Raw genomic sequence first — 22,822 nt, 5'->3', positions numbered from 1 at the left:
GGGAAATAATTGTTGTCCAGAAAGATAACCCCAAAAGTTATGGTTTTATTACCCTTATGACCTACAGGACATTAACCAGTTTTTTCTCTAATTCAGCAAACTTATTTTAGAATTATCTCCTTGTATAATATCTTCTCATCTTAATTTTAATGTTATTTTAATGGTTCAACTCATTAATAAGTTGAATACATTTTTAACACAGATGCATGCAATATTTGTACAAGAGTTTTAACTTTTTGACAGTTATGGTTTGACAATGAATTTGTTGGGTAAATGATATTAATTGGCCCAACAGCAAACTATATTGGCATAATCAATATTCAATATCCCTCCCACTCTAAGAGTCTATGATGATCTTTATTTCTCATCAGTACTCACAAACCAATGTTATACTCTCAGGGAAACCTAAATAGATGGCATTTTCGGTCTAAATGTTGATTGAAGCTTAAGATTTTTTTCCTCTGACATTAACACTATAAATTTTCTGTGCTTCACCATTTTTCTAACTGATCTATGGAGTTGGTGGCAATAGTGATGAGTAGCCGATGCAGCATGCTATAACATTTACCTATTAATAACTTAATGGAGCTTGACAACCAGTTTTACTCAAAGGTAGGTAGGAAAGAGGAACCTAGAGGGCTTGAATATAGGAAGTTGACTTGTCTGTCTTGAACGTGAGGAACAATAAGAAACTGATGTGGCTGTTAATATGCGGTGAAACCAGCTTATGATGTTTGTGATAGCTACAAAACAGGCAAAAATCATATACTGTTGGGGAAAAATAGTTAACTACTCTTGGTTTAAAAATAAAGAGAGGAAATCACTACTGGTGATTTTCCTTTTGAAGGTAATTGGAAACAAAATATAAATTGTCGTATAAACACACTTTCAAAAATGTATGACTATTCTGTGTTCCCAAAGTTTGTAGTGTGGCAGGTTTACAGTAACAGAAGTGTGTACGTAACTCTGCAGAAAGACATAAAAGAGTATTGTGTTAAAATTTCGTAGACAAACTTGCACCCCATCAGCAACTTGGACAAAATTAACATGTTTCTAAAGCAACAGAATGTTGCGATACATTACCAAGATGGCATAGGGGCTAAGTGGTTCCATGCTATGACAGTCAGATATTATTTACTAGAGAATTTTTTAATTAAGAAGAAAAGAAAAAACCAAGGCTCAGCAAATAGTAGAAAGCTATACGGATTGCACCCTCTGTGTCATATTATAGTTTCCTTTTTGTTAAACTTGGTAAGAAACACAAAGAAGAGTAATGCCTCAGTGATGAAGAAGGTTGGATACAAATAATACCGGGTCATTCCCCTTGTTTGCAAATTGTACTTTGACTTTTTCTCACTTTGACTTCCATTCAGTTCTTCAGCCATTTCAAATTCACTCTTTAATTGCCATGGCAAATATTTATTTTGTTACATGGCAATTTAATCTGTATTTTAAATTTCAAATTAAAACCTGTTTGTTTTTCTAGCAATGCCTGTATTAAGTAAGCAGCTGTCAATATGTTCATCGCACACTGAAGACATGTAGTCACATACTTTGGGCATGGAGGTGGGAGGTATGGGAGGGTTCTCACTAAATAAATCACCTAGCATGGCTTTGGTAGGAAGGACCCTTACTACCTCCCTATGACCTTAAGGCCAGTGTCTAAGAAAGAGAATTCTGGTAATCCTAGAAGTGAGCAGAACTTTCAAGGAACTAGAGTGGAGGATTCCTTTTTTTTAATGCCAGAGAAAGCAAAGTCCAGTAGAAACATTGAAAAGATTCCCTTGAGATGATGGTACTGAAGAATGATTTCTGAGCACTAGGAAGAATTTTAATTAGGCTGCTACGGATACCTATAGATAGCATCAAACAACGTCTATTTGGCTGCCTAGCTAGAGAATGACGGCCCCTGGATGTGATCAAAGCCCCCCTGAGTTCTCGGGGGTTCCCCTCGAATCAAACCCATCGTAGCTCATTTAGATGCTGTGCAGTGTTCAGCGTGGCTCGGGAGTTGCTTTTCCTCCCAGTGCTTAACCTCCTTTCCCCTAAGATACAAATGTCAATATTGGATTTAGTCTAGTTGAATGGATGTGTCAGAGGGGAGATTAGTGACTGGCAGCCACAAAAGGGTTTTTCAACTGGCAAAAGTAAATTTTTCACAAATGAATCAAAACAGTTTGAGGTGGAAAAGGAGCAGGGGGAAAAAACCCTTGCCAAATTTTGTCATGATGCCTCATTAAATGGATTTGAATACTTCAGCGTGGGCACTTTATCTAGAAGCTACTGGATTCACCCCATAGGAGGCTCCAGAGTGAGGGAAAGAGAGCATCTGCTTTAATATCCTCAAAAGGGCATTTTCTGTGAAAAGTCTCAGTATATTGTCCCCTTTTATGGCATGAAACCATCCGCAGCCTAGCTTCAGATGATCAGAGTGCCTCGCTCATTATAACAATCCTTAGACCATTTAATGTGATAAATTTAAATTGCGGAAGTTTTTTATTGGTGGTTGTATTCATGCTTTTTAGAATTAGTTGTGCTGCTTGTTGTTTTGCTTATTTGTTTGTTTTGAATGATTTTGGATAGTCAAACATCCCTGCTTTGACTGATTGAGAATAAATGGAGGTGGTTCCCACCTCCTTTCTTGAACAATTCACATTGCTGGCATAATTGCTAAGGTCATTGTTTCTGTGGTCACATTTATGCTTCTGGTCACTTTGAATATTATGGGCATGTCTATTTCAGGGAACTGGTGTTCCAGCAGGAAGGAAAAAATGAAAAACATCCTTTGGGATGTAGTTATTGATTGATTAATTAAAAGCAGTCATGGATTATCCTTCTCAGATTTAGCAAAACACGCTAATTGTTATAAACTTAGAAGTCACAAGAAAGAAACATGAAAATTATGGGAGAAGGGTTTGGCAGTACCAGCTTATCTCCTAATCAGCTCTGAAGATTGATGGAGAACTGTTGACAAAATGTTTTAGAAAGGTGTCCTCCAAATCCTAAGAAAACGTCATTACATTCATGACCCACTTCAGTTCAATCTTCTAAATTTGAGGTTTTGCCAAATGGCTGAAGAAAGCAGTCAATTTGTTAAAGTCTAACTTTAGAGCCCATGGCTGGTTCTTGATAGATCCCTAAATTTGCTATATCAAAAGATTAAAAACACTCAAGAAGTTTCTACTTTATAAGGCATTTTAAAAAGGCTTCTTTTTTTAATAATAAAAAATTTTCAGGCTACATAAGTTAGGATTAGATTTGGCCATATGTAACAGAATGCCACCAATACCAAAGCCTTCACCACACAAGGTGCATTTTCTCACATGGAGGAAGTTCAGGAGTTTGTCAGCAGAAGGCTGGTACAGCAGCGCCACATTTCATCTGGACCTTTGATAGTTCTCACTTGGCATTCTGCACCTTGAGCCTGACACATTAATAAACTACAAGGCACTGGTAATTCTTTTTTTTTTAATTATACTTTAAGTTTTAGGGTACATGTGCACAATGTGCAGGTTAGTTACATATGTATACGTGTGCCATGTTGGTGTGCTGCACCCATTAACTCGTCATTTAACATTAGGTATATCTCCTAATGCTATCCCTCCCCCCTCCCCCCACCCCACAACAGGCCCCAGTGTGTGATGTTCCCCTTCCTGTGTCTATGTGTTCTCATTGTTCAATTCCCACCTATGAGTGAGAACATGTGGTGTTTGGTTTTTTGTCCTTGCGATAGTTTGCTGAGAATGATGGTTTCCAGCTTCACCCATGTCCCTACAAAGGACATGAACTCATCATTTTTTATGGCTGCATAGTATTCCATGGTGTATATGAAGGCACTTGTAATTCTAAGTGTTTTAAGGTGTTCACAATTTTGGAAGACACAGGTATACATACATTTAATTATGATGAATACATAAAATAACAATATAAAGATATAGAAATACGATGCATGTTTTTTCTTTCTAAAAGAATTTAGGAAGAATGATAATAATAAGCATGAAGTAGGAAAAAAAAGAAGACATTTGTGTGTAGGGGGAATAACAGTTTTTCTCCATTCCTGGTTGCACCAATCCTCGCTAGGGAGCGTGGTGTTCCAGCATGCCTTTCCTGCAGTGTATAAGCGCTCTTATGTCCCTTGGTCACAGAGAATGTGGCCATGCCCTAGGCTGTGGCAACATGGTGCATTATAAAAGGGTCAGGAACCCTTGTTCTAAAACATGGGTGATAAATTGACAGCCACGAGCCAAATATGACCTGCAGATGTAAGTTTTTGACCAATTTAAAATAGTTACCAACATTTCAAAATTGAGAGATTTCAGAGAACAATTTGACCTCTAGCTTTTCTTAAAGAATTAGATTAGCTAATCCCAGCAATTTGAGAGGCCGAGGCAGGTAGATCACCTGAGGTCAGGAGTTCAAGACCAGCCTGGCCAACATGGTGAAACCCATCTCTACTAAAAATACAAAAAATTAGCTGGGCGCAGTGGTACGTGCCTGTAATCCCTGCTACTTGGGAGGCTGAGGCAGGAGAATCATTCGAACCCAGGAGGCAGAGGTTGTGGTGAGCTGAGATTGTTCCACTGCACTCCAGCCTGGGTGACAGAGGAAGACTCCGTCTCACAAACAACAACAACAACAGCAAAAAGAATTAGATTAGCTTTGGACCTTTGTTGGTTGGGTAACATTTCTCTGAAGCTGATCAATTGCAGCCACTTCAGATAAAGCACTCTCCAATTTCCCACCTACCTACCCTCTCCTTACTGCTTTCTATTATCTACCTGGCCCTGTAGGTGCTTATACGTGCTTGGTGTCCCCTGTAAGCAAGCACATTCTGAGGCTGGTGTATTCTTTTAGGGTCAAAGTGTTTGTGCCAGGTTTCTTCCAGCTTTGGGATACCTCCCTTCATATTTGTTTGTAGTAGTATATTTTGGGAGTCCTCATTCTTGGGTCTGGGTCCTCACAGCCTATCACAGTCAAGACAGATTAGACATGGGAGGAGGGAGAGAATACAGATTTGACCTGCTCCCCTGTTTTTACCCAATAAGGATTATTGTGAAACCTCAGGTCATTTAGAAGTTCTCCGAATTTATCCTGGACCACATTTGAAAGCTCAGGGAAAACCTCACAGGTACTTTCAAGTTATCCTGGTAACCAGGCGTGGCAGAGTGATCCAGCATGGCAGCCACCAGGTTTTGCTTATTGGCACTCAAGCAAAGCTGACTGTGCCTTCCTGATAGTTCTCTGCTGTTTTGCTGTGGCAGATTGCACAGTGGAAACTGGTGGTGTTATGGTCTCAGCTATGGTGAAATGCCAGTGTTCCCAGAAATGCCCTGAGATGAAATACTTAGGAATATCTCAGCGAAGTGTCTTGGAGGGCCAGCTATGCTTAGAAAATTCTCATTAACGGCCAGGCACGGTGGCTTATGCCTGTAATCCCAGCACTTTGGGAGGCTGAGGCGGGCGGATCACGAGGTCGAGAGATCAAGACCATCCTGGCTAACATGGTGAAACCCCATCTCTACTAAAAATACTAAAATCAGCTGGATGTGGTGGCGCACGCCTGTAATCCCAGCTACTTGGGAGGCTGAGGTAGGAGAATCACTTGAACCCAGGAGGCAGAGGTTGCAGTGAGCTGAGATCGCACCACTGCACTCCAGCCTGGAGACAGAGCGAGACTCTGTCTCAAAAAAAAAAAAAAAAAAAAAAAAATTCTCATTAACTATGACCATGTTGCACTCTGTCATTCTGAACCTACTGAGGTGTCCGCTACCCCAGGCTGTTACCTTATGATTGCTAAACAATGCCATTATCTAATGATTTTCATTAGGACAAATGAAAAAGTTAGAGACTTCCTAGTTACTCTTTTTGCTTCTTTGCATTCTGTATGAGTTTCCAAAGCACGTAGCAAGCGACTCAGCAGTAGCTGAGACTAACTCATTTATGGGGCGTCCAGAAATATACCTGGCTATCTCAATCTCTGTGTCAAAATTATTTGAACAGTTCAGAATTCTTTACTCCCATTAGCTGTACCTGGAGAGTACAGAGGTCAATGTAATAGTGTAAAGAATCTTAAAAGATAGCAGTTATACAGTGCTTAGTACAGGTTGAGCATCCATAATCTGAAAAGCTAAAATCTAAAATGCTCAAAAATACAAAACTACTTCAGCATTGACATAATGCCATAAATGAAAAATTCCAGCCCTGACCTCATGTGACGGGGCACAGTCAAAAAGCAGTTACACAACACACAGTTTATTCAGCATTCCCAATGGAAAATAAAATTTACCTTTAGGCTATGTATATAAGGTGATCTAAAACATAAATCAATTTTGGTTTAGGCTTGAGTCTCATCCCCAAGATGTCTTATTTTGTATATGCAAATATTCCAAAATCTGAAAAAATTCAAAATCCGAAATGCTTCTAGTCCCAAGCATGTTGGTTAAGGGGTATTCAACCTGTATGTGCCAGGGACTAAGTATGTCCTCAATTCTTTTGACAAATCTAGGTGGTACTCTAATTTCTTCTATTTCATAGATGAGGAACCCAAGGCACAGAAGGGTTAAAGTACATGCTTTGGATCATCAAGCTAGAAAGTAGTGCAGCAGGAATTTGAAATGAGGTAGTATAGCTTTAGAGTTCACACTCTTAAGCAAAAAGGTAATTCCTCTTCGTTATAGGGCAGAATAGTTCTGCATGGTGAAGCCAAACTATGTTAAACTTCAGCTTCACTTTATGATTAACTTACTGTCATGACAATTAACTTTACATAAAAATGGTAATAAGGGCTGGGCACAGTGGCTCATGCCTGTATTCCCAGCACTCTGGGAGGCCGAGGCAGGCGGATCACTTGAAGTCAGGGGTTGGAGACAAGCCTGGCCAACATGGTGAAACTCTGTCCCTACTAAAGATCAAAAATTAGCTGGGTGTGGTGGCAGGCACCTGTAATCCCAGTTACTCAGGAGGCTGAGGCGGGAGAATCACTTGAATCTGGGAGGCAGAAACTGCAGTGAGCCGAGATCACACCACTGCACTCCAGCCTAGGTGATGGAGTGAGACTCCGCCTCAAAAAAAAAAAGATAGTAAGAGCATAGCAATAATAGTATCACAATAAGCATTAGCTGGCAGTGTACTGAAGACTCCTGAAACATATGCTGCTTATTATAACATTTTGAGTTTTTCTCTCATCTTATTTATTACAATATTTATAAGGATAATTTTAAAACTTTAGGTTTGGATTGATTAGACGGGCAAAGAAGACTAAGAAGAGGTACCCAGAGAGTTAGGAGAAAAACTAAGAGCATGGGAAAATAAAGTACATCAAGAATGAAGAAATGGTTGCATATGTTGAATATCTTTCAGAGGCCTAGTAAGGTGAGGCTGAACACTGTACATGAAGTTTGTCAACATGGAGGTGTCCTTGGCAAGAACAGTTTTAATAAATCGTAGAGGTGGAAGATCCATAGATATGGGTTGAAGAGTTAATGGTAATTGCAATTTTCAGCAACATAATTAACTAGATATTCTGCAAACCTTCCAATACCAACACTTTAAAGTGCTTTGTAAAATATAACAGCTATCTTGCTAGATGTCATGTTGAACTGTCAAGAAAGTAAGAGCAATCCCAATGATCATAAATTTAAAAATAATCAGGGTGATAAAGCAAAACTGAAGCTACAGCTACCTCAAAGATATTTACAAATCTCATTAATGAAGACAGTAGGATTTGAATGGCTTAGCCCAGTGGAGAGACTAGGCTTTGGCCCATGTGAGGTGGGGAGTTAGAACTGATATCTCCATATAAACCTGAGTGCCTCAAATTTCTACATCTTTGCCTTTCATCAAAAGGAAATGTATCTAACTCAACCTGTACTCTACATGGAAAAAAGTCACCTCTGAGACTTCATAACAATGTGTCAGTCCTCATGTAAGCGTTGGCTTTGCATTTATGCTATTCACAAGGTCCATAAATCCTCACACTAAGAAATTAACTTAAAGTCATCTTAGGGCATTTGGTAGAAGAAAAATAAATCTGCTCTGGAGAGACATGCTTTTAACTCAACCTCACAGAATTTCTACCGTTAAAGTCACTGGGATGACAATGAGTTTATAATAGAAAATTATAAAAACAATAGAAATTACAAAACACAAGTCACTATGAGTGACAGCCAGCATTATAATCAGCAGAAGTAGGACCAAAATAATTTAATATTAAATTAAATTATTTAAGGAATTAGAAGGCAGAATAGAAAAATGTGAGGAGAAAGTAATTAAAGTGAACTTCTAGATGTGAAAAATATAATCTTTGAAATTAAAAACTGAATGAAATAATTAAAGCAAAAGATTAGCCAGAGCTAAAGAGAGACTAGTGAACTACAAGATATGAAACTTAAGGAAACTTACAGAAAGAATGAAAGAAATAGAAAATATAAAGAGAGAGTAAGAGATACTGAAAAATGAGTTTTACCATGTGTCTAAATAAAGTTCCAGAAAAAGAGAATGAGACAGAGAATATTCAAAATATCAAAGGCTAAGAATTTTCTAGAAGCAAAGACAATAAATCATCAGATTTAGAAAGGACAAGAAAAGGAACAATAAAAAAAAAATCCTACCAAGATTCACTGTATGAGCAGAACAGAGAGACAAATAGTTCTTAAAGGCAATTAGAAAGAAAAGGGAAAACATCCACAGTTCAACTGTAGGTAAAGACTTGAAAACTGCTGAATTCTACCAAATATTTAAAAAAGAACTAATACCACTTCTCAAACTAATTTCAGAAAATTTAAGAGGAATACTTTCAAACTCATCTTATAAGGCCAACATTATTCAGATTCCAAAACTGGGAAAGAACACAATAAGAAAAGAAAACTACAGGCCAATATCCCTGAGGAAACTAGATGCAAAAATTCTCAACCAGATACTAGCAAACTGAATCCAACAGTACATTAAAAAGATCATTCACATTAGTGGGTGCAGTGCACCAGCATGGCACATGTATACATATGTAACTAACCTGCACAATGTGCACATGTACCCTAAAACTTAGAGTATAATAAAAAATAAATAAATAAATAAAAATAAAAAGATCATTCACTATGATCAAGTGAGATTCATCTCAGGGATGCAAGCATGATTTAACAAAAACCAAATGATTATTTCAATAGACACAGAAAAAGCATTTGACAAAATTCAACATCCTTCATGATGAAAACTCTCAAGAAATTAGGAACAGAAGTTCTGTACCTCAACACGAGAAAGGCCATATATGGAAAACTCATAGCTAACATTATATTGAACAGGAACAAGACAAGTATGACCATTTTTACCACTTTTATTCAATGTAGTATTGTAAGTCCTAGCCAGAGCAATTAGCCAAGGTACAGAAATAAAAGACACCCAAATTGGAAAAGAGAGAGTCAGATCGTCCCTGTTTGTATATGGCATAATTGTATATAGAGAGAACCCCAAAGACATCACCAAAGACTGTAGAACTAATTTTAAAAATTCAGAAAAGTTGCAGGATACAAAATTAGCATACAAAAATGAGTAGCATTTCTATGCACTAATAGTGAACTACTTGAAAAATAAATTTAAAAAGAGGTTCCATTTACAATAGCTACAGATAAAAAAGATACCTAGGAATAAACTTAACCAAGGAGACGAAAGAACTCTGCAATGAAAACTATAAAACTTCAATGAAAGAAATTGAAGAAGACACAAATAAATGAAAAGATACCATGTGTTCATAAATTAGAAGAATTAATATTGTTAAAATGGCCACACTACCCAAAATGCTCTACAGTTTAATGCAATCCCTATCAAAATGCCAATGACATTCCTCATAGTAATAGGAAAAAAAATCATAAAATTCATATAAAACCACAGAAGCCTCAAATAGCCAAAGCAAACCTGAATAAAAAGAAAAAAGTTGGAGACATTACACAGCCTGATTTCAAAATATGTGATAAAGCTATCATAACTTAAACAGCATGGTACTGACATAAAAACAGACACATAAACCAATGAAACTGAATAAAAAGTCCAGAAATAAATTTATACACCTACACCCAACTGACTTTCAACAAAGGTGCCAAGAACACACATTGGAGAAAAGACAGTCTCTACAATAAATTTTGTGGTGGGAAAATCAGATATTCACATGCAGAAGAATGACACTATATTCTATCTTTCAACATACACAAAAATCAGGTCAATGTGAATTAAACACTTATATGTGAAACCAAAAACTGAAACCATACTAGAAGAAAACATAGAAAAAATGCTTCATGACATTGGGCTGGGCATAAATTTGTTAAATATGACTTCAAAAGCACATGCAACAAAAGCAAAAATAGACAGTTGGGATTACATTGAACTAAAAAAATTTTGCATAGCAAAGGAAACGATTAACAGAATGAAGAAACAACCTATAGAATGAGAGAAAATACTTGTAAATTATCTATCTGACAAGAGGTTAATATCCAGAATACATAAGGAATTTAAACAACTTTCCAGCAAAAAAAACAAAACAAAACAAAAACCAAAAACCAGATAACCCAATTTAAAAATAGACAAAAGAGGCTGGGCATAGTGCCTCACACCTGTAATCCCAGCACTTTGGGAGGCCGAGGTGGGTGGATCAGTTGAGGTTAGGAGTTCGAGACCAGCCAGGCCAACACAGTGAAACCCTGTCTCTAGTAAAACTAGAAAAACCAGCTGGGCGTGGTAGTGCACGCCTGTGATCCCAGCTACTAGGGAAGCTGAGGCAGGAGGATTGCTTGAAACCAGGGGACAGAGGTTGTAATGAGCCGAGATCATGCCACTGCACTCCGGCCTGGGTGACAGAGCAAGATTCTGTCTCAAAAATAATAATAATAAATAATAATACATAAAAAATAGACAAAAGACCTTAATAGATATTTATCTAAGGACATACAAATGACCAACAGGTATTTAAAAAAAGCTCAACATAACTAATCATCAGGGAAATGCAAATCAAAACCACAATGAGATACCACTTCACTCCAGTTAGAATGTCTACTACCAAAAAGACAAAGTAAAGCAAGTGCTGGCACAGATGTGGAGAAAAAGGAACACTTGCACGTGTTCGTGGGATTGTAAACTAGTACAACCACTATGGAAAACAGTATGGAGGCTCCTGAAAAAATTAAAAATAGAGCCACCATATGATCCAGCAACCCTACAACTGGGTATATATTAAAAGGAAATAAAATTAGTATGTCATAGAGAAATCTACACTCCCATGTTTACTGTAGCACTATCTACAATAGCCAAGATATGAACTGAACCTAAATGTCCAGCAATGGATGAATGAATTAATACAATGTGATATATATACAAAATAGAATACTATTCAGCCTTTAAAAAGAGAGAAGTGATATTATTTGTGACAACATGAACCTGGAGGATATCATGTTAAATGAAGTAAGCCAAACACAGAAGGACAAAAACTACGTGATCTCACTCATAGGTGAAATTTTTTCTAAAAAGTTGATATCATAGAAGTAGAATGTAGAACCATGAAACACTGGTTACCACAGACTGAGGAGGGGAGGATGAGGAGAGGTTGGTCAATGAGTAGAAAGTTACAATTAAATAGAAGGAATAAATTCTGGTATTCTGTTTCACAGGAGGGTGACTTTGGTTAATAGTAAAATACCATATATTACCAAATGAATATTCTTGACACAAATAAATGACAAATTCATGAGATGATGCATATACTATCTGATTGAATAATTATACAACATATATGTATCAAAACATCAAACTGTACCCATAAATATGTACAATTATAATGTCAATTAAAATTTAAATTATTTATTCAAAAATGGAAGCCAAAAGACTAGAATATTTGCAAATTGTTGAGAAAAAATTATTCTTGAACAAGAATTACATCTCTCTTTAAAAATATTATTTTAAAAATGTTATTCAAAAATGAAGGCAAAGTAAATAATTTTGAATAAACAAAACTGAGTGTACCACTAGTATCACTAAGGGAATTTTAAAAAGATGTCTTACAAGAAACCATGACCCCTTAAGAATCTGCCAAATAAAAACAAATAGTGAGCAAAAAAACTTAGTTATCATGTATAAGTCTAAACTAAACTTCAGTGTATGAAACAATAATTATTATAATTTGGGAATTTCAGAAAACAAGATGGAGCTAAAATGCTGGACAAAACACCTGTAAAATGAGAAGTGAATATTGAAAATAAAGTGTACTAAGCTACTTGTATTGTTCAAGAGGAGATGAGAGGTATTCAGTAATTTTACATTTTGTTAGTGTGCATGTTAAATTATTAATGATTACTACTGAAAGAATAGAAATAAAGTATGTAACTCCCAAACTAGTTGATGGGGAAAAAAATGGATGAAAGACATGATGAATCAAAAGAAGGACAGAATAGGCAAGTAAATTAAAAGCAAAAGATGAAATGGTACTGATAAAAATATGTGACTATATTCATATAATATACTACTCAGCAATAAAACAATAAACTTCTGATACATGCAACAATGGGTATGAATCTCAAAAAAATAGGCTAAGTATTAGAAGACAGTCCAAAAAAGACATAAATAATCAATTTATATGAAGTCCCAAAACAGACCAAACTAAACCACAGGGAAAGAAATCAGAATAGTGCTTGTTTCTGTGACGAGAGTGAGAATAAAGGGAAAGGAGCTTAAGAGAAATTTCTAGGATAGAATAATCTTGATTGTTGTGTTGATTACAAAGGTATACATTTGTCAAAGCTCATCAAATTATACACTGTATATTTTACATTAGGTAATTATACCTCAATATGTAGGTGTGTATGTAATCACAATAAATGTAAAGGAACTATTTTTTCTAAAGAAACAGAATTGCCAGATTGAATCAAAAAAAAAAACAACAACTTAGTTTGGTGGTTGATATAGTTTGGCTGTGTCCCTACCCAAATCTCATCGTGAATTGTAGTTCCCATAATCCCCACGTCATGGGAGGGACCAGGTGGAGATATTGAATCATGGGGGTGGTTCCCCCATCCTATTCTCATGATAGTTCATTCTCATGAGATCTGATGGTTTTATAAAGGGCTTCCCACTTTGCTGGGCACTCATTCTTCTCCTTTTTGCTGCCATGTGAAGAAGGACTTGTTTGCTTCCCCTTCTGCCATGATTGTAAGTTTCCTGAGGCCTCCCCATCCATGCTGAACTGTGAGTCAATTAAACCTCTTTTCTTTATAAATTACCCAGTCTCAGTATGTCTTTATTAGCAGCATGAGAACAGACTAATACAATGGTATTGACAAGAGGCATATCTAAAACAAAAGCACATAAAAAGATTCAAAGTGAAAGGATAAAGGAAGATACAGCACGCAAATACTATTACTAATACTTTTTAAAAGGTCATATGTTTAAGGCCAAAAACATTATTAGGGAAATAACACTCACTACATGATAATAGCTAACATTCACCAGAAATATTTAAAATTTTTCAACTTGTGTCCGTCTAATACTAAGACCTGGAAATACATAAGGCAAAAGCTGATAGATGTACAGTAGAACCTACACATTTATAGTTGTACTGGAAGATTTTATGTTATAATACATATATGGAAGATTTTAACAACACAATTAAAAATATTGATCTAACATTGATCACAATTAAAAGTATATATGAACCAAACAGAGAATACAGATTCGCCTTGAGCATACATTTGTGAAATTTGTCACATAAAGTAACATAAATGATTACATGTGAACACATTTCAGAACCAGCATAAAACAGACCATGTTCTCTGACCACGATACAATTGATAGTAATCAATAACAAAGAGATAATGTAAAAGAACCTACATGTTTGAAAATTCAAAATTCATTTGTAAGTAACTCATGAGTCAATATGTATTACAGTGGAATTTTAAAAATACTAATTAAAGAACAATAGAAAAGGTTTAATATCAAAACTTTCCCTCTCTTTTTCTCTCAGTTATGTATCAAAAATATATTTAATAAAGGGCTTATATCTAGACTACAGAAATAACTCTTACGACTCAATAATAAGACAAAAAATGAGGAAAACACATATTGATAAGATTTATGAATGGCTAGTGATCACATAAGTTGTTGAACATCACTAGACTTTGGGGAAATGTAAATTAAAACTACAGTGAGATGACTTTAAATATTATTGAGAATAATTAAAAAAGACCGAAAATACCAAGTGTTGGTGAAAATATGGAGCAATTGGAAATCTCAAACACTGTTTTCCAAAGTAGTTGTAAAATTGTATAAATATTTGGGAGAAGAATTTCACAATTACTTATAAGTTAAACATATACTTAACATATAACTCAGCAATTTTATTTCTGGTATTTACTCATGAAAAATAAAAACATGCATTCAAAAAATGATTTGTATACGAGTATGTATACCAGCTTTATTCATAACAGCCCCAAACTGGAAATAACCCGAATGCCCATTGAGAGGCAAGTGAAATAAACTGTAATATAATTTGTAGAATGGAACACTACTCAGTAATAAAAAGGAATGAACTACTAATACATGGATAAATTTTAAGATGAATAAATTTCAAATACATTATGCTAAGCAAAAAAAAAAAAGCCAGACAGAAGAAAATATGTGTATGATTCCACTTATATTAAATTTTAGAAAAGGCAAACTAATTTATAATGACAGAAAGCAGATCAATTGTTCCCTGGGACCAGACTAGGGTAGTGGTGAAGGTTGGCTGCAAAGGGGCACAAGGGAATTTTGGCATACTGGAAATGATCTCTTTATTGGTTATAGTGGTGGTTACACATTCATCAAAACTCAATGAAATATAAAAATTTGGGCATTTTATTGTATGTAACTTATATTTTAAGAGGTTTGTTTTTTAAAAAAGAATGCCTGAAATGACAAGCTACGCATTCAATTCAAGAAAACCCGAAAAAAGTAGAAGGAAAAACATTTTAAAGATCATAAATTCATAAATAATAAAGATAAGATAGGGACAATCAATAAAGAAGTGTTCTTTAAAATAAAAACCTAAACAAATTAATTTCTGACAAAAAAGAAATAGCACACATATACAGTGTTAAGAATGAAAAAGGCACATGGTTACAGATGTAGAAATAAAAATAAGGGAGTTACATAAATAACTTCAGGCTAATAAATTTAAAGATATTCAAAACAGACAATCTCCTAGAAAATAATGTATACCAAAATTGACTTAAGTAGAAATGGGAAATCTGAAAAGACTTACAACCAATAAAGAAATTGAATCAGTGGGTTAATATCTACTTTTTCTTTAAACTTCTGCCTGAAATTATTAGGCCCAGATGTTTTTAACAAAGTTCTATCTAAAACACATCCAAGAGATGACTAACATAATTACAACTGTACCAAAAAAAAAAAAAAAAAAAGGAAAAGGAAACACATCTAATGATCAAAATTCAAATCCTATAAAACACTTCCAGAGAATAGGAAAAAAGAGGAATGCCCCAAATCTCATTTAAAAAGTAAACTCATGTAAATTAGATGACAGTGTAATTGTAAAATATGACAGACTCATCTTATTTATAAACATAGATTCTAAAAAAATCTGCAGCATTATGGGCATCCCCGCCAGCACCATTACAGCTGCATTATGCAGGCACAGAGGCATAGAGGTCTGCAGTGGGCATCCATCCAAGGTCGAGGATTACTAAACTACTGGACACACATTCTGAACTTGGGAAGAAATTAGAAAATAGGAAGGAGTTGATGACTATAGAGAAAAGATGACGTAGTTTAGGGGATTGGAGATCTCAAGTCAAAGAATTTTCCTTGTATGAAAAGTGAGTGAGAAGGGTAGGCCAAAGATGGGAGTGTTTGTGTACCTTGAATAATGTTGGGCTGCCTGGTCTCACCCTGGTGTTGCATTCAAAAGAAACATCAGTCCAACATGTAAGGAAGCATAACAAGCATTTTAAATTTTGAACTAAAATAGCTTAAAAAGGGGCAAAGAAGCTCACGCCTGTAATACCAGCACCTTGGGAGGCTGAGGTGGAAGGATCACTTGAGGTCAGGAGGTCGAGGCCAGCCTGGCCAACATGATGAAACCCCATGTCTACTAAAAATAAAAATTAGCCGGGTGTGGTGGTGCATGCCGGTAATCTCAGCTACTCAGGAGGGTGAGGCAGGAGAATCACCTGAACCCAGGAGGTAGAGGTTGCGGTGAGCTGAGATCGCACCACTGCACTCCAGTCTGGGTGACAGAGTGAGACTCTGTCTCAAAAAAAAAAAAAAAAAAAAAAATAATTATTACATTTTTTGTCACAGCAAAACAGTTTAAATCCCCTTTGCTTATCAGTTTCCCTGGGATCTCGCTTCTCACCTCTGTTGTAGCCCTATCTCCTTCTAGAACTTCAGCCTACAGTTCCAGTGCTTTTCTCTTCCTCTTCCAGTTCTCTCTTCTTCAAGGAGCGGCTTCGGGCCCTTTATCGCGTGCTTCAATCAAGTCTTATCTGTTCCATCTAGTTTTTTCAGCTGTGCCCATTGTCTGAATCAGCACAAAGTTCAATAGCTTCCAATTTTGGCTATCACTTGAGTTGAGTTCCCAATCTTGCACGTGGTATGGTTTCTGTTGGTGATGAGGTCAGGGATGTAACCAAGTGTAGCACAGAGTGAAAGAACATTGGAGATGAGAAGACTAAAGATTTGAGCGGCCAAACTTGAGGCTATGTCAAGTGATGTCAGGAGTTGGGGTGAAGAAGAAGACATGTGCTTATGTCTTTTTCGAGTGAGGAGAATGACCACAAAATTGCTCTATGGTTCTTGTAAAGAGAGACGAAGTTGCCAGACACATAAGAATGATTTTTATTCAATAAGGAAGAAAAATAATGGTCTTAAAGGAGTGAGAGTAAACAGCTTCTATCTGAGAGAGCTATAGGAGAAACAGTATTCCTGATGTAGAGTCAAGTTTTGGTTAAGAAAAGTGGGGCAGACGGGGGCGGGTATGGTTTACAGAGGAAGTTAAAATTTATGAGACATCAATGAAGAGAAATTTCTAGAAGGTGCAGTGGAAGGATTTTGGTTTTGAGGAAAAGGGGTGGAACAGATTTGGGATTTACAGCACCGTTTGGGGAAGACTGAGTAGAAGACAAAAAATATGGAGGGGCTTCGTTCTTGGTGATAGATAAAAAGGCATGTGGAACATTGTCATTGTAGTTCTGATCTTTTAGAGCAGGGGTCCCCAACCCTCTGGGCTATGGACTGGTACCAGTCTGTGGCCTGTTGAGAACCAGGTGGCAAAGCAGGAAGGGAGCGGTGGGAGAGCGAGTGAAGCTTGATCTGTATTTACAGCGGCTCCCCATAGCTCACATTACTACCTGAGCTCCACCTCCTATCAGATCAGCCTTGGCATTAGATTCTCATAGAAGCACAAACCCTACTGTGAACTGTGCATGCGAGGGATCTAGGTTGCCTGCTCCTTATGAGAATCTAACTAATGCCTGATGATCTGGAGTGGAACAGTTTTATCCTGAAACCATCCCTCCCACACCATCTGTGGAAAAATTGTCTTCCATGAAACTGGTCCCTGGTGTCAAAAACGATGGGGACCACTGTTTCAGAGGAAACTGAATTGCTTGGATCTAGGTGTATGATCCAGAGGCTTCGTATGGAGAAGATGAGACATTTCTGATAGGCCAGGGATAGCTGTTGCTGCAGGAGCAGTAGAGCTGGATTTTGCCTTTTCATAGAGACTTGCACTTTTTTTTTTTTTTCTGAGGGAATCTTGCTCTGTCACCAAGGCTGGAGTGTGGTGGCATGATCTTGGCTCACTGCAACCTCTGCCTCCCAGGTTCAAGCAATTCTCCTGCCTCAGCCTCCCGAGTAGCTGGGATTACAGGCACACACCACCAAACCCGGCTAATTTTTGTATTTTTGGAAAAGACAGGGTTTCACCATGTTGGCCAGGCTGGTCTTGAACCCCGACCTCGTGATCCACCCACTTCAGCCTCTCAAAGTGCTGAGATTACAGGTGTGAGCCACCACACTTTTGAGAATGTATCCTAAGGAATTAATCACAGCAGCACATTAATTTATGCATGAGGATATTCATCACCATCTTATTTTTAATAACAAAAAGTTGGGACTATTTTAAATGTCCAACAATAAAGAACGGTTTAATCAAGTATGAATATTCATTACAGAATTCTGTGTAGACATAAAAAAAATTATGTAGGTATGAGGAAGAAATATGGTATATTATTAAGTGAAAAATATATAATTATGTGTAGGTGAATGTAAATGACTAGTTAGTTCTTGAGTTGAACATTGGTTTTATAAGTGTGCATTATATTACTAAAATCATAAATAAAATAGAGGATCATTGCTGAATGAAAGACAACTGTCATGATCTAAGAATTATGATTAATAAATTTCCATCTGAGGTTCAGCTTTTAAAAAATTCATATATGAAATAAACAGTATCATTCTACTTTTTGTTAAAAATAATATAAGCCATGCTTTGTCTTCCTCCTCATCTCCCAAGCCTTTGAACTTTTTTTTTTTTTGGCCTTTGACCTTATTGATCATTCTCTGTATTTTAGCTTAGTCTGAATGTATTTGTTATCTATTGCTGTGTAACAAATTGCTCTCCTCCCTAAAACTTTGTAGCTTACAATGATAAACATGTATTATGTCACAGTTTCTGTGGGTTAGCAATTTGGGAGCAGCTTTGCTGGGTGGTTCTTGCCCAAGAGGTGTCAATCAGGATGTTGGCAGGGGCCACAGGCACCTGAAGGCTTCACTGAGGTTGGAAGTTCCACTTCTAAGATGGCGCACTCACAGGGCTGTTGGCAGGAGGCCTCAGTTTCTTACCATGTGAACTTCTTCATAAGCTTGCTCAATTGTCCTCACCACATGGCAGCTGGCTTCCCCCAGAGTGACCAATCCAAGATAAAGAGCAAGGAGGAGGCTACAATGCCTTTTATGACCTAATTTCGGGAGTGGAAAACGAATACTTCTGATACATTCTATTCATTAGAAGCTAGTCACTATGTTTGCTCAGGGGCAAAGAGATGCAGCTGCTGGGGGTTGGAAGTTGGGCAGGCAGGTGTTAAAGTAATAAGGCCTAGGGGGTATGAGTGGAGCAGTGACAGCTCTGTTATACTCCCATCACTCACTAACTCTTGAAATATTAATCTGTCATTCCAATAAGAATTTGTCTCCTACCTTTACAGCATGTGTAATAGATTGCCTTCTAAGTACGGTTCATATCCTCCTCACTCATCTTCCCACCAAATGTCCAGGTGCTCTCACCTAATTTATGTATTCATTTAATTTAATTATTTTAATTGTAGGTTTTCAGTATTGACTAGCATCCACATGGTTCCTCCTATTTAGATTGTAAGATATTAGGTGGCTGACTGCATAGAACCCTGGAGTTGAAAAAAAAAAGAAAACCCTGGAGTTCCTGCAAGCCAACCCTCCATCTGCTCTACATGTTCTTTCAAAGCATTTTTCACAAATGGCCATTCAGATTCAGCTTGCATACTTCAACTGAAAGGGGCTCACTATCTTACCACCATGTGACGTATTTAGTAAAAGCTTTTGATTACAAAGACAATGATTTTAGAAACTTGGCATATCTAAAAGAGTAAGCCTGTGAGATATATTAATATACTATGGCAGCCTCGTAATATGACTCAGGATGGCCTTTCATACTTGAGATCAGATACTAGATTTTTGCTCTTAGTCTTTTCAGAAGCTCATCTCTGATGCACCGGTAAGTGCTTTTGGCAGGCAATGATCATGGAGTACATATAGTTTCTCCTATCTTCCCCAACTCTGGCACCGAGTTAGGGGTGATGATATACCCTGGGTCAGTTTTCTCTTCCAAAAGACAGAAAGAAAATAGAAAAAGATTCTTATTCCTGGGTGCTGGCCCTGATTCTTCAGTGTGTGAGTAAATGAGTCAGTACTATTTACCTAGGAGGTTTATAATGATTATTTCATGTTTTAAATTCAATCCTGATTTTCCTGCAAATGCAGCATTCAGAGGAAAAGAAAGAACTCAGCTGTCTGTACAAACATATGGAAATCAATGATAAATGGACAGAGACTGCAGAGTATATTTATTAACCAAGCTTGTATAAATCATAATTTTTCAACCATTTATTAAACTAATAGGATTGTTTTGGGAACATCAAAGAATTCTTTATTAAGTAAATAATCATGTTTATCCACTCAGTTATGGGGAAAAGCAAATCATTCACACTGCATTTACTCTGCCTCATCAGATTTCATTTCTCTTAAATGTCAGCCATTGATAATTTTTACCAAACAAGCTGGGAAGAAAAGTCCAAATTCCTACCAGCCTTCAGCCACCTCTCCAGTTCAGGGAAAGGACTGTTGCTGGCTTTTCAGATTTCCATTTCTTTCTTCCCCAACTGGGTAAATTCTCCATGAGGCTTAAAATGGCTCTACCATAATGAACTCAAATTTAGATAGTTGGCAGCCTTGGCCAGCTCGCTTTCTTTCTTTCTCTCTCTCTTTCTTTCTTTCTTTCTTTCTTTCTTTCTTTCTTTCTTTCTTTCTTTCTTTCTTTCTTTCTTTTTCTTTCTTTTCTTTCTTTCTTTTCTTTCTTTCTTTCCTTTCTTTCCTTTCTTTCCTTCCTTTCCTTCCTTTCTTTTTTTTTTTTTTTTTTAATTGATCATTCTTGGGTGTTTCTCGCAGAGGGGGATTTGGCAGGGTCATAGGACAATAGTGGAGGGAAGGTCAGCAGATAAACAAGTGAACAAAGGTCTCTGGTTTTCCTAGGCAGAGGACCCTGAGGCCTTCCGCAGTGTTTGTGTCCCTGGGTACTTGAGATTAGGGAGTGGTGATGACTCTTAACGAGCATGCTGCCTTCAAGCATCTGTTTAACAAAGCACATATTGCACCGCCCTTAATCCATTTAACCCTGAGTGGACACAGCACATGTTTCAGAGAGCACAGGGTTGGGGGTAAGGTCACCGATCAACAGGATCCCAAGGCAGAAGAATTTTTCTTAGTACAGAACAAAATGAAAAGTCTCCCATGTCTACTTCTTTCTACACAGACATGGCAACCATCCGATTTCTCAATCTTTTCCCCACCTTTCCCCCCTTTCTATTCCACAAAACTGCCACTGTCATCATGGCCCGTTCTCAATGAGCCGCTGGGCACACCTCCCAGACGGGGTGGTGGCCGGGCAGAGGGGCTCCTCACTTCCCAGCAGGGGCGGCCCGGCAGAGGCGCCCCTCACCTCCCGGACGGGGCGGCTGGCCGGGTGGGGGGGCTGACCCCCCCACCCCCCTCCCGGACGGGGCGGCTGGCCGGGCGGGGGGGCTGACCCCCCCAACTCCCTCCCGGACGGGGCGGCTGGCCGGGCGGGGGGGCTGACCCCCCCACCTCCCTCCCGGACGGGGCGGCTGGCCAGGCAGAGGGGCTCCTCACTTCCCAGTAGGGGCGGCCGGGCAGAGGCGCCCCTCACCTCCCGGACGGGGCGGCTGGCCGGGCGGGGGGCTGACCCCCCCACCTCCCTCCCAGATGGGGCGGCTGGCATGGCAGGGGCTGACCCCACCTCCCTCCCGGACGGGGTGGCTGCCGGGCGGAGACGCTCCTCACTTCCCAGACGGGGTGGCTGCTGGGCGGAGGGGCTCCTCACTTCTCAGACGGGGCGGCTGCCGGGCAGAGGGGCTCCTCACTTCCCAGACGGGGTGGCTGGTGGGCGGAGGGGCTCCTCACTTCTCAGACGGGGCGGCTGGCCGGGCAGAGGGGCTCCTCACTTCCCAGTAGGGGCGGCCGGGCAGAGGCGCCCCTCACCTCCCGGACGGGGCGGCTGGCCGGGCGGGGGGCTGACCCCCCACCTCCCTCCCAGGCGGGGTGGCTGGCCGGGCAGAGGGGCTCCTCACTTCCCAGTAGGGGCGGCCGGGCAGAGACGCCCCTCACCTCCCGGACGGGGCGGCTGGCCGGGCGGGGGGCTGATCCCCCCACCTCCCTCCCAGACGGGGCGGCTGGCCGGGCGGGGGGGCTGACCCCCCCACCTCCCTCCCGGACGGGGCGGCTGGCCGGGCGGGGGGGCTGACCCCCCCACCTCCCTCCCGGACGGGGTGGCTGGCCCGGCAGAGGGGCTCCTCACTTCCTAGTAGGGGCGGCCGGGCAGAGGCACCCCTCACCTCCCGGACGGGGCGGCTGGCCGGGCGGGGGGCTGACCCCCCCACCTCCCTCCTGGACAGGGCGGCTGGCATGGCAGGGGCTGACCCCCACCTCCCTCCCAGACGGGGTGGCTGCCGGGCGGAGACGCTCCTCACTTCCCAGACGGGGTGGCTGCCGGGCGGAGGAGCTCTTCACTTCTCAGACGGGGCGGTTGCCAGGCAGAGTGTCTCCTCACTTCTCAGATGGGGCGGCCGGGCAGAGACGCTCCTCACCTCCCAGATGGGGTCGCGGCCGGGCAGAGGCGCTCCTCACATCCCAGATGGGGCGGCGGGGCAGAGGCGGTCCCCACATCTCAGACGATGGGCGGCCAGGCAGAGACGCTCCTCACTTCCTAGATGGGATGGCGGCCGAGAAGAGGCGCTCCTCACTTCCTAGATGGGGTGGCGGCCGGGCAGAGACGCTCCTCAATTTCCAGACTGGGCAGCCAGGCAGAGGGGCTCCTCACATCCCAGACGACGGGCGGCCAGGCAGAGACGCTCCTCACTTCCCAGACGGGGTGGCGGCCGGGCAGAGGCTGCAATCTCGGCACTTTGGGAGGCCAAGGCAGGCGGCTGGGAGGTAGAGGTTGTAGCGAGCCGAGATCACGCCA

At 39.7% G+C, this 22,822-nt stretch overlaps 1 annotated feature.

Annotated features, from left to right (window-relative positions):
• Nucleotides 21,250-21,878: an enhancer, noted in NCBI's record as "H3K27ac hESC enhancer chr6:19940204-19940832 (GRCh37/hg19 assembly coordinates)". NCBI's record gives its function as "activates a minimal SCP1, AML or CMV promoter by ChIP-STARR-seq in primed H9 embryonic stem cells {active_cell/tissue: H9 hESC(primed)}" and the evidence as "EXISTENCE:reporter gene assay evidence [ECO:0000049][PMID:30033119]".

The sequence above is a fragment of the Homo sapiens genome, chromosome 6, assembly GCF_000001405.40.
Source record: "Homo sapiens chromosome 6, GRCh38.p14 Primary Assembly".
Taxonomy (NCBI): Eukaryota; Metazoa; Chordata; class Mammalia; order Primates; family Hominidae; genus Homo; species Homo sapiens.
This window is presented reverse-complemented; position numbering and strand designations above follow the sequence as displayed.